This window comes from Homo sapiens, chromosome 6 (assembly GCF_000001405.40).
Source record: "Homo sapiens chromosome 6, GRCh38.p14 Primary Assembly".
In the NCBI taxonomy this organism is placed as follows: Eukaryota; Metazoa; Chordata; class Mammalia; order Primates; family Hominidae; genus Homo; species Homo sapiens.
In genome coordinates, this window is record NC_000006.12 from 7,184,515 (window position 1) to 7,197,519 (window position 13,005).

The following is a 13,005-nucleotide window of genomic DNA, read 5'->3' on the forward strand; positions in this document are numbered from 1 at the left end:
TCCCAAAGTGCTGGGATTACAGGTATGAGCCACCATGCTTGACATGGTTCATTTTAAAAGATTACATCTGGGTCTGTAGACCTCCTCCCATATAACTTGGATTTTGTGGACCTGTATGATGGCCTGCAGCACAGCACTGCCAGCCTCAGAGAAGGCTGGGGTGTCAGTTCATGAGTCACCCCAGAGTCAACACAAGTCAGCCCCACCAGCCGCACAGTGTGCCTGCTGTCTATTGCAAGGTGAATGCAAGATGATTTTTTAAACAAATTTGTCTCCCTGTGGCTGGTCACTTGGAGGCCTTTTTTTTTTTTTAAAACATGTATTTACATCCTATTGATGTATCACCATCCTGTTGGTAACTTTAAAAATTTTGTGTATGTAAAATTGCCTATCTACTAATTTGACAACAATACCCCGGAGGTGGAACTCATCCCCAACTTTTGGCCTGGCTGTGAGACATCCCTCCTTGTTATGTCTTACTTTGTTGCTGTTGCTTTTGTTTCTCCCCACACCCATGCCCCCATGGGGGTCCTTGGCCAGCTCTACTCCGACTGCAGTTGTAGAACTGGGCAGAGAAGGTATGACACCCCCTCCCCCATTATACCTCAGAAAGAACTAGAAGTATGATAAATGAGTACGACTGGGAATTTGTTTTTTCCACTATCTCTAGGATGTTCATGTTTTGTAGAATCCATATCCTTAATTCTTTTTGTGTGAAAATGTAGAGCATACCTAGTTCTCAGACCCAATTCCATAGATTAGAAAAAAGTTTTGGCCGGGCACGGTGGCTGATGCCTGTAATCCCAGCACTTCGGGAAGCTGAGGCGGGTGGATCACCTGAGGTCGGGAGTTTAAGACCAGCCTGGCCAACATGGCAAAACCCCGTCTCTACTAAAAATACAAAAATTAGCCAGGTGTGGTGGCGCACACCTGTAGTCCCACCTACTTGGGAGGTTGAGGCAGGAGAATCACTTGAACCCGGGAGGCGGAGGTTGCAGTGAGCCAAGATCGTGCCACTGTACTCCAGCCTGGGCAACAGAGTGAGACTCCATTTAAAAAAAAAAAGAAAAAGTTCCTATTGCTCAGAATGAGACTTGTTTGTCTTTGAAGAGGAGTGAGAGGGAAGGTGGCTGTGAGCTAGACATCATCATGCCTTCATTCCACCCGTCTGGTTTATGGCGCCATTTGCTTTTATAGTCTTCAGGGTGACTTTTATTTTCATCATCTCCCATAAGCAACCACAAGAGTGTTTCCTTTCCGTGCCTTGGGGTTAATCCTTTTGGTCAGACTTTATATAGAGCATAGTGGCTTAGGGCATGGGCTGTGGAGCAGCTGGCCTGGGTTTTAATGCTGTGCCTACCACTTAATAGTTCTCTGACTTGGGGCAGGTTACTTGCCTCTGTGTACCCCAGTTTCCGCATCCAGAAAATGGGATCCATAATAATGCTTGTCTATTAGTGGTTGTGAAAAAACCCTGATGGTTCTGTATAGAGTTTAGCACATGGTAAGTGTGCAGTAATTGGTGTTATTTGCAAGGAGCAGAAACTCATTCAAATGAATGCAAGTAAAAAGAGGTCTATTGAAAGATGCCCGAGGATAGGAAATGACCCAGAGCCTAGACAGAGCATCCAGCCCTAGGGACGGTGCCCTCCATCCCGTTGGGTTAACACTGACATCTTCCACACTGCTTTCTCCTGGCTTGGGCTTGCCGAGGTGCAAGCCTCCTTGGGTTCAGCCCTACCTCTCCATGAACTTTCAATTCAAGTGCTCATAATCACCCAACTTAGTAACTTAGCCATCCTCAAACCTGGGCACATATCACCATCATCTGGGGAGCTTGTGAGACAAACAGATTTCTGGGGTTCTACTCCCCCAACCCCAGTCCCCCAGTGACTCCGATGTGGCACGTCCAGAATCTGGTTAAATGCATAGAAACCAACCCCCCAGGTGATTCTGCTGATCTTCAGAAATCTCTGAGCATCCCAACTCCAAATTACTGGGAGAGGTATCCAAGCCTAGGTCCAGTTAGTTTTGGGTATTGAGACAGGAACCCGTGGTCTTAGGGACTGTGGGGGTGAGGAGTCAATGATGCACACAGCCTAGAACTCTGCATGAATTATTTGGAAAGAGGATCTGTAGCATAGGGTTAGTGAACGACATTGGCTTTTTCTGAAAAAGACAAAACATACTGCTTGACCTGTGCATTCTGAGGGAACATAAAAGGAGCCCCCTCACCAAGTAGTGAGCTGGTTCTTTTGTCACCTTCTGTGGAAGTCTTCAGTTTGGGTTGGCATTCCTATCAAAGTTGTCGTGATAAGGACAGCAATTTTCTCAGTGTGATGTTTTTGTTGAGTATTTATGAGCAGTGTTAAGCAGATGCTAGCAGTGGGCAGGGGCATGCCCACTGGGTGCACAGCTAGGCACTGAGGGCTTCCCTCTTTGTAGGGTGGGCTCTTCTGATGAGAACCTTGTTATCTCTCAGGTGTTCTTGGAGACCCTGAAACCTGTTGCAAAATAGCCCAGGCTGGACTTGGGGAGAAATGTATTCCTTTCTAGCTCTTCCGTGAGTCAATGCTTAATTTTTCACCATCACAGATTATTAAGTGGTGTCTGTGTAATTAGAATGCTAGTATTGATTGAGTACTGACTATGATCCCAGCACTGTTCTAGTGCTTGGCATGTGGTAATTTAACCTGCATCACAGCATGGTATGGTAGGTGGTACTGTTTTTCCCATCTTTCAAATGAGGAAACTGAGGCAGACAGGGCCGTGACTTGCACAAGCTTATACCTGGGCAGGTTCTGGAGCCCATGCTCTCAGCTACATAGACACAAGTGCTTATTACACTTATTACAGAAAGAAAAGGCACTTGTTGACTGTGAGTTGAAATTTATCTTCCCTTTTAATCTTTCTTTTTAGGAAACGAAAGAGGAGAAGTCTTCCTATAACTGCCCCCTGTGTGAGAAGATTTGCACTACCCAGCACCAGCTGACCATGCACATTCGCCAGGTAGATTCCCACTGTTCTTTTATTTTATTTTATTTTATTTTATTTTATTTTATTTTATTTTATTTTAGTCAAGTGCAGTAATGAGAAGAGGGGGAAGAGTAGAACAAGGAGTTAAACACTCACTGTGAGCAATCAGTTGAGATAACTCAGTACCTTCGGACCAGCCTATTTTTGATCTAAATTATTCTTCCTTAAGCACAGGGCAGGGTAATTGGATTTTAATGGATGAGCTGTAGCTGTGCCTAATTTAAATTTAGTTTTTTAAATAATTTTGGGAGGTGGTTATGAAATGACTTTTGTATATGCATATTCCTGTGACAAAGTCTTAGGTCAACACAGAATTCCTTTTTGGCTGGGTGCAGTGGCTCATGCCTGTAACCACAACACTTTGGGAGGCCAAGATAGGCGGATCACTTGAGATCAGGATTTGGAGACCAGCCTGGCCAACATGGTCCAGACCAGCCTGGCCAACCCATCTCTACCAAAAATGCAAAAATTAGCCAGGCATGGTGGCATGCACCTGTAATCCCAGTTACTTGGGAGGCTGAGACAGGAGAATCACTTGAACCCGGGAGCAGAGGTTGCAGTGACCCAAGATTGCGCCACTGCACTGCAGCCTGGGTGACAGACCGGGACTCTGTCTCAAAATAAATAAATCTCAAAATAAATAAATAAAATAAAATAGAATCGCTCCCCCCCACACGTGTGTGTGTGTGTGTGTGTGTGTGTGCGCGCGCGCACGTGTGTGACGGAGTCTCGTTCTGTCGCCCAGGCTGGAGTACAGTGGTGCGATCTCAGCTCACTGCAACCTCTGCCTCCTGAGTTCACGTGATTCTCCTGCCTTAGCTTCCCAAGTAGCTGGGATTACAGGCGCCCACCACCACGCCCAGCCAATTTTTTTATATTTTTAGTAGAGACGGGGTTTCAGCACGTTTATATTAGTATAAACGTACATAACACAGAAGGAAATCTACTCAGCTTGGGGTCTTTTTTTGCTTTTCTCCTTTATTATGAGATTTACCCTTCTTCTCCTGCTGTGGCCAATTCATGACAAAATATTGATGAGTGTAGAACAGTGAAGGATTGATGACCTAGTAAAATCATGACATAGTACTGAATTAACATCAAGTTACTAAAGTAACTCGGGTTTGAATAGAAATGTTCCTTTTTACCGTCTTTCAGAGGCCAAAACTCTACCCTGTGCAGGTTTCAGTTCTCTTTCTCTGACGGCAGGCCTGAGTCATCAAATCTGAAGAAGGGACGTTGACTCCTTTAATGGAAGGACATATTTCCTTCACTGTTGAGTGTCCTTCGGCTTGTAGGAGTTAATATATGTGGTCACTGAATCTGTATGTGGTTCAAAGCAAGACCTGGGAAGGCTCTACTTCTTTCTGAGCCTTTCAGTAGAAGTAGTTTTCAAAACAATGTGGGAATGGAGGAATATCATACAAAATATTTATTTGCCTGTTTTCCTGATACATTTTACCCCTTCAGAAAGATATTTAAAATGAAAGAGAAACACATAGCCAAGAAAGTTGATTGGTTTTTTTAATAAAGCTCTGGATCTGCATTTCCTAAGAGCTGAGCTTCTGATGCACTTTCTTAAGTGACCGCTGTGACCATTGCTTTCTGCAGCACAACACAGACACTGGAGGAGCCGACCACTCATGCAGCATCTGCGGAAAGTCACTGAGCTCGGCCAGCTCCCTCGATCGCCACATGCTGGTGCACTCTGGCGAGAGGCCTTACAAGTGCACTGTGTGTGGCCAGTCATTTACCACCAATGGGAACATGCACAGGTGGGTGAGGGCGCCCTTTGCTTGGGGGGTTGGCTGGTACTTGGAGGTTGGCAGGCAGGACAGTGGCCTCTGAGCCTTCAGAAGACTTGCCTAAAGGTACAGAGAGTTCTGGAGCTCTGTCCATTGTATGGAAAAACCAGAGATGCACACTATCTCTGGGGTATTAGAGGTGAAGTGCCTTGGCAAGGTCTGTGGCCCTTCAGAGTTCCTCAGGATGAAACACAGAGTCATTTCCCCTCTGCCAATTGGAGTTGGTTGTTTGTTTGGGTGCTAGAAGTGGGCAGATTATCACATGTAAGAGAGGAACTCTCCATGAGTAGCATCCACGTAACCCTGCCATTTAAAAAATATTTGCATATGCCTACCAGATTCCTGACAGACCTTTTCATTGCAAATAAAAACAAAAAGTCTGGGACCTTTTAATAAATAGTTAAGTGGACTGGTCCTGGAGCTTCAGGATAAGATAGGATAAAATTAAGAAAAAGAAAATCTGATAAACATCAGGACATTAATTCCTGAGAGAGAAAGATGCTCACTCAAGTGGGAGACAGTAGAGTGGTAGACATATTAAAATTGTTTGGGGTGAACCTATGGAAAATAGAGTTTATAGGCTGATCATACATGTTTTGAGGGGTTTACTTTTCCATATTCCTGTCCAGTCCTTATTCTGCTTTCTTTTAAAAAAGTTGAGTCACATTTGTTACATGTTTATTTCAAAAGAAAACTTTATATAACTACTATAAAATTGATATGCTAGTTATATTTGGTTATATAAACACTAAAATGAGTTGGACCAGTTTATTACACGTACACATGGGACATACTGATACAGCGGTTAAGTTTCTTGATTTGGGAACTAGGCACCTGAATTCAAGTCTCAACTGCTACTTGTAAATTTTCTATCCTCAAGCAAGTTACTTAACCTCTTTGTACTCCAGTTTCTCATCTTTAAAATGAGATTTTTTTTGTTTTATTATTTTCTTTCATGCTATTTTGACCCCCCAAAACGAGATTTTTAATCGTACCTACATCACTGGATAAGGCTGAGGATTCGGTGCTAATTAGTTTAGCACACAGTTCCTGGCACAAACTAAGCACTCAGTGTTTATTATTATTTGCGTTTCTAAGTAATGCTGCAGTAATTTAAAGCCAGTGTATATCTCAGTCTAAACTCTTAGAAGTGAGGTATAGTATGACTTCATGAAAAGTGAATATTTTAAGAATTTACAAAGTGTTTTGCTTTTTATTTTCTCATAAATTTCAGTCCTGATGGGTTATTCTCTTTGCCCCTCATCTCTTCCTGGGACTGTTTTTGGGTACAAAGGAATTGAATAGTGTTACTATTTTACAATACAATATTTTGCATTTTAGCTTTTTATTTTTTTACCACCATGTTGGCCTGTTGGTATCCTTTATTTTTGCCTTCTGTTTAGGTCTGCTCGTTCTACACCCCACACCCCCAAAAAGTCCTTTGTCCTTTACATATTTGCCCTTCTCAGAATCTGGTCCTAGAGGTATTGCCTGTTCCCCTCTTGGGGGTTCCATCACTTTTTCCTGCTGAGCCTCTGCTCAGTGGAACTCCCCATGGGCCAGCTCCAAGTTGGCAGGGGCAAGTGGGCACATTGGTAAAGAGGCCCCTCCTAGTGGCGTTTTGGCCCTAACCACTGACCACTGTGATCCTCCATGAGACATCTCTTGATGGTAGGCCCAATCACTCCTGATTCAGACATTTTCTATTTTGAGACATGATTGAAATAAACACAGCTATAAAAGGCGTAGTTATTGTCTTCTACAATAACCTGTGTGGCAGTGTGTTTTTACAAATAATCATTGCTGAAACTGTGGTGCTCTGGGTGTCATATCTGTATTACGTGAACACATGTCTGTATTCACTTTTCATTTTTTTTTTTTACATCTTACGGTATAATTCATACATCATACATTATACCGTGTAAAGTGTGCACTTCAGTGGGCTTCAGGTTCTTTTTTATTGTTAAATAATAGTTCATTGTAGAAATATGATACATTTTACTTATCCCTTGATCAGCTGATGGACATGTGGGTTGTTTCAACTTTTTGGTTATTACGAACAAAGCTGCTGTTGACATTGTTGTACGACATTTTGTGTGGGCCTGTGTTTTTATTTTTCTTGGTAGACACTTAGGAATGGAATTGCTGGGTCATATGGTAAATCCATGTTTAAGTCGAGGAATTGCCAAACTGTTGTTAAAACTTTCAATTTGGGGGTATTGCCATCATAACAATACTAACTCGATCTATGAACATGGGATGTTTTCCCATTTGTTAAGTCGTCCTGAATTTCTTTCAACGTCTCATAGTTTTCAGAGTACAAGTTTTATATCGGTTAAATTTATTTCTAAGTATTTTATTATTTTTGGCACTATTATAAGTAGAGTTTTCTAATTTAATTTTTCAGTTGTTCATGGCTAGTTAAAATTTATATATTGATTTTGTTCCCTCCAACCTTACCTCATTTATTCATTCTAGTAGTTACTTAGTGGATTCCTTATCCTATATCATGTCTGTTATTCATTTTCTCGCCTACTTGCCCTGGCTAGAACCTGCAAAACAATGTCAAATAGAAGTGAAGAGAATGAACATTCTTTTTTTGTTTGTGATCTTAAGGAGAAGGCATTCAGTCTTTCCCCATTAAATATGATGTTAGTTGTGGGTTTTTTAAATAAATGTTCCTTACCAGTTTGAGAAAGTTTCTTTCTTTTCCTAGTTTTTTGAGTGTTTTTATTATGAAAAGGTATTGGATTTTGTCAGATGATTTTTTTTTTTTTTTTTTTTTTTTTTTGCATCTATGGTTGGGTTGTTTTTGTCCTTTATTCTTTTGTTGTTGTTGTTGTTCGTTTGTTTTTTTTGAGATAGAGTCTCATTCTTTCACCCAGGTCAGAGTGCAGTGGCGTGATCTCGGCTCACGGCAACCTGCGCCTCCCGGTTTCAAGTGATTCTCCTGCCTCAGCCTCCCAGGTAGCTGGGACTACAGGCGTGCACCACCACTCCTGGCTAATTTTTGTATTGTTAGTAGAGATGGGGTTTTGCTATGTTGGCCAGGCTGGTCTTGAACTGCCGACCTCAAGTAATCCTTCTGCCTCAGCCTCCCAAAGTGCTGGGATTACAGGTGAGAGCCACCGCGCCTCACCCCAGATTTTGTTTCTTCTTGAGTCAGTTTCAACAATTTGTGTCTTTCTAGGAATTTTGGATATTTCATCAAGTGATATAATTGGTTGGCATACAATAACTCATAATATCCTTTTGTAATCCTTTTTATTCTGTAGTTAGTAATAATTTCCTTTCTTTCACTCCTAACTATAATAATTTGAATCTTCTTTTCTTCCCTTAGTCAATCTAGCTAAACATTTGTAAATTTTATTGATCTTTTCAAATAACCAACTTTTGGTTTCATTGATTTCCCTCTATTCTGTTCTCTGTTTCATTAAATTACTGTTCTAAACATTATTATTATCCGTTTTCTGCTTTCTTTAGGTTTAGTTTGACCTTTTTCCGGTGTTATAGCAAAGTATAAGGCTGGATTATTGACTTGAGAACTTTTTAAATACAGGCTTTTATAGCTATCCATTTTCGTATAAGCATTGCTTTAGTTGTTTCCCATAAGTTTTTGTATGTTGTGTTTTCTTTTTCATTCATCTCAGCATATTTTCTAATTTCCCTTGTGAGTTCTTCTTTGACCCATTGGTTATTTAGAAATGTGGTCTTCAGTTTTCACAAATTTGTGACTTCTCAAATTTCTTATTAATTTCTAGTTTCATTCCATTATGGTCGGGGAAATTCATTCTATTAATTTGTTACTGATTTCTAGTTTCGTTCCATTATAGTTGGAGAACATACTTTGCATGATTTCAAACTTTGTGAATGTACTGAGACTTGTTTTATCACCTAACATATGGTTTATCCTGGAGAGTGTTCCATCTGTTTGAGAAGAATGTGTATTCTGCTGTTGTTGGGTGGAGTGTTCTGTAGATTTGCTGTTGGGTCTAGTAGGTTTATAGCATTGTTCAAGTCTTCCATTTCCTTATTGATCTCCATTTATTTTTATGTACTCTGCCTTGTAAGGATTGTATAATTATTATCCCATTTTGCAAATGAGGAAAGGACTAAAGTAATAGACAGTGCTAAGATTTGAATAAAGGATATCTGGCTTCAGAGGCCATGCTTTTAACTACCACAGATTGAGTACCCCATATCCAAAATGCTTGGGACCAGAAGTGTTTGGGATTTTGATTTGTTGTTTTTTTGTTTTGTTTTGTTTTTTTGGAATATTTGCACATACATAATGAGGTATCTTGAGGATGGGACACAGATGCAGGTCTACACACAAAATTTATATATGTTTCATATACACCTTATACACATAGCCTGAACATAATTGTATGCAATATTTTTGATAACTTTGTGCATGAAACAAAATTTTGACTGGGACCCATCACATGAAGTAAGGTGTGGAATTTTCACTTGTGGCATCATGTCAGCACTCAAAAAGTTTTGAATATTGAAACATTTCAGATTTCAGATTTTCTGATTGGGACGCACAGACTGTATGTGAGAAATAATTGATGTAGCTTTTGTGTCACTTTGCATATTAGAAAAAAAGCACTCTTTCACTCTTTTCCTCATTCTCAACACAATTCTGTGCTGTTATAGAACGTTATTTTCAATGTTAAACTATTTCTGTCATCCCAGTAGCATATTCTATGTATAGTGAGCATGGGATAGTTTTGGGGGCAGCCATTTTGACTGAATTTTATTACTCTGTGTTGTTTGGGTTTACTTGGATAGTCTTAGAAATTATTTTGAATTTTTTATAGCATAGCCCTTGGTACTATTCTAAGATACATTTCTCATTTATGGTCATTGTATTTTGGAGTTGTTTATAAATATTTTTTTAAAAGCAGGCATTGGCCGGGTACAGTGGATCACACCTGTAATCTCAGCACTTTGGGAGGTTGAGGCAGGCCCATCACTTGAGGCCAGGAGTTTGAGACCAGCCTGGCCAACATAACAATATCATGTCTCTACTAAAAATACAAAAAATTAGCCGGGTGTGGTGATGTGTGCCTGTAGTCCCAGCTCCTCAGGAGGCTGAGGCACAAGAATCGCTTGAACCCAGGAGGTGGAAGTTGCAGTGAGCCGAGATCTTGCCACTGCACTCCAGCGTGGGGAACAGAAGAAAAGCAGGCCTTGGTGCTACTTGTTTGTGCTAATTGTTGGTTTTCTGGTACTGATTTTCCTTATTTTGAGGCACCTTGAATCAGAGGAGAGGACTAAATTGGGGCTAAGTTCTAATCTTAGTTCTGCAGAACTTTGTGGAAATCTCTTAAATTTTTGACACTTTAACAGAATGGCTTAGTATTACCTCATATTGAACTTGGGCTCAGATTTAATAATGTTTGTAAAAGGGTTCTGAAGGTTTACAGTGTACTATGGACATGCCCTAGGTAGAGGGAGTTTCTGAGTCTGTATTGTTAGAGCTGAAACCACCGTAATGACAATCTAAGGAAGTGTTCCACTACTAGCTGTGTGATCCCAGACAAGTTACCTGACACCTCTGTGTCCTAATTACTTCATCTGTAAAAGGTAGTATTATCCGTACCTACCGCATGGGAATGTTGTGATGATCAGTAAATACTACATGCAAAGCACTTGGGGTAGTGCTTGTTAAATGGTACATATCAGTAATGGTTACTACTCTTTTATTGTTGTATGTGCCAGAGAGGGAAAATATATTGAGTAAACATTCATATAATGCCAGAAAATAAATTGAGTAAATTGAGAGTGATTTCTTTTAAGTGTGCTTGTTTTACTTTTTGCTACACTTAATCTGTAATTTAAGTAATAATATATTTGAAATACTAGGGATTATCATACTACATTTATTATGTCTTTGCAGAAAGTTGCAAATAATGAGTTAAAAGAACATTTGGGTTTTGGTAAATCACATAAAAGTCATTACCATTTCATTTGTTAGCGAAACTGTACTTTTGAAAAAAATTATAAAAATGTGAGAACACTTACAAAAATGTGCCAGAGAGAATGGAGTTAGATTTATTTGCCCCGGTGGATCTGTTCCAGAATCTGAGACTCTAGTAGTGAGCTGTGATCTCTCCCAAGCACATACCTGTGGGCCTGTGTTACGTTAATCAGGGGCCAGAACTGCCCTGGGATGTGTGTGCAGGAATTAAAAAGAGTAATGCAACCCAGGTCCTGAGAAGTATGAAAGGAAATCAGTCGATCTGTGAGAGTTTAGTGCTTAAGATCAAAGTTCTTTTTCTTGTTTCCCTTCCGCTACCACTGCTTCCCAAGGTCTGTTGGCACCTGCTGGGATTGGGTAGTGCACAGGAATTCCCTCATGGGGTCTCCAGAGCCGATGCTAAGCTGAGGGATCAGAGAACCTCTGCCTCAGCTTCCCAGGACACCCACACCCAGGTGCCTCCGTTCCATCTTGTTTGTAACCCGTTTGAGGCCCTCCCTCAACTGTGCCAGTTTCATCTGACATGGCCCTGTGCTCTGATTTTTGACTCTTCCCCTGAGGGGCACAGATTGGGTGGGCCCTCTGCTGCGGCATGATTCTCTGTAGCGTGGATTTCTGGAGTTTCATTTCTCTGAAGGCTTGATTCCACAAGGCTGGTCTGTGCTCTGCTCCTCAACAGCACAGTTGACAACTACACAGCTTACCCTTCCCCCTCCTCCTGCTCACCCCCTGCTCTGAAGGCTGTCCACACGCACACGTGGGATGCACACCTCCGTGTGTGTGCACACTCTTCCAGATGAGCCCAGCCCTCCGGTGTTGCCTGCTTGAGGCAGATCTGGGCTCCACCCCAAAGTTCGTTGTTTTTTGGTTTTTTTTTTCGTTTTTTTTTTTTGTTTTTTTTTTTTTTTGCTGAAACACTCGGCCTCACAACACAGACTCTGAGGACTACATCCTTTCAAGTTTCAAGTTACTCTTAGCTGATATTGAGGTGCCTTTATAGAGCAACTCACTCTATTTCCTTTGGCCTGTGGTCATTTTATGAGTATTTGTTAGTTATCTGTATTTGTAATGCTACTCAGTCTTTTTGTAGAGTTTCCTTTATCTTAGTTTTATAAGAGGACACTCAGAATTGTTATATTGGTCAAATAAAGTAAACTTCACAGAATGAAGGTAGCATATTAAATTATGTGTAGTCATTGACAGTTGCTTTGTAGCACTGATAAAGCCTATAACTTACTATACTTTTTTCTAGTAAATAAATTTACTTGATCTTTTAAAAGTAATTATATTTTGGCAAGTAGGGAGATGAGAGTGATGCTAATTCCAACTTATTTTGAGAAAGGTTAGGATAAAGACCTTTTTAATTTATTACTTATATTATTTTAATTTATTTTGAGAAAGGTTAGGGTAAAGACCTTTTTAATTTATTACTATATCTGGTACAGCTTTGTGAGCTGCCACTTGCCTGTATGCAGATTCTCATGTGTTTGAGGTTTGAAAATCCTTTGTCCCAAGCCTTTCTAACCACAGCTCAGTTGCTGAGCAGAAGAGTAGGTTACCATCAAGTACAAAACATGTAGCACGGAAACATCACTGTGGATCCAGCTTTTAACTTCCCAGAACTCTTTATCAGTTGCTCCCACGTTGAAAATTTGGATTGAGTGGTGCTCGTCTTCCAAAACAAACTTGGGAAACTGAGCCAGAGCACGCCTCTGGGAGAGCTCAATGTAGGAAAAAGGGCATTGAGCTTTGCAGTTTGCAAAGCTTGTTCCAGGAAGTGCTGAGCTGCAAAGCTGTGAAGAAATGATACTTGAAACAGAGGATAGAAATGTGCCTCATTTGGAATAAAGCCTGTCTCTAAAACTGGTATTTTCCTTTTAAAATTGCCTTGGGAAAATAGGAAATTAATTTTCACTTTGCTCCTTATTTTACAGACTGTAGACTTTTAATTCTAAAGAGTTGTGGAGCATGTCTTACATTTAAGGGCATGCTTAAGACCCTGGCAGGGGCAAGCTTTCATGACTAACTTCACTGATTCTTTGAAGAGTAGGGATGTGTTCTGATTTCAGCTGTCATTAGAATGGTGAAGATGGGCCAGTACTTTGGGAGGCCAAGGTGAGTGGATCACTTGAGGACAGGAGTTTGAGAACAGCCTGGCCAACATGGCAAAACCCCATCTCT

General features: G+C 40.7%; 1 protein-coding gene across 4 annotated transcripts in view; it reads left to right on the forward strand.

Annotated features, from left to right (window-relative positions):
* The window catches only part of RREB1 (ras responsive element binding protein 1), a 144,238-nt gene that overhangs the window by 76,772 nt on the left and 54,461 nt on the right, over nt 1–13,005 (forward strand). For all 4 annotated transcript variants that reach the window (NM_001168344.2, NM_001003699.4, NM_001003700.2 and 1 more), the window contains exons 5-6: nt 2,920–3,009; nt 4,645–4,808. In NM_001168344.2, coding sequence (NP_001161816.1) covers nt 2,920–3,009; nt 4,645–4,808 — 254 coding nt within the window. The remainder of the gene's footprint in view (nt 1–2,919; nt 3,010–4,644; nt 4,809–13,005) is intronic.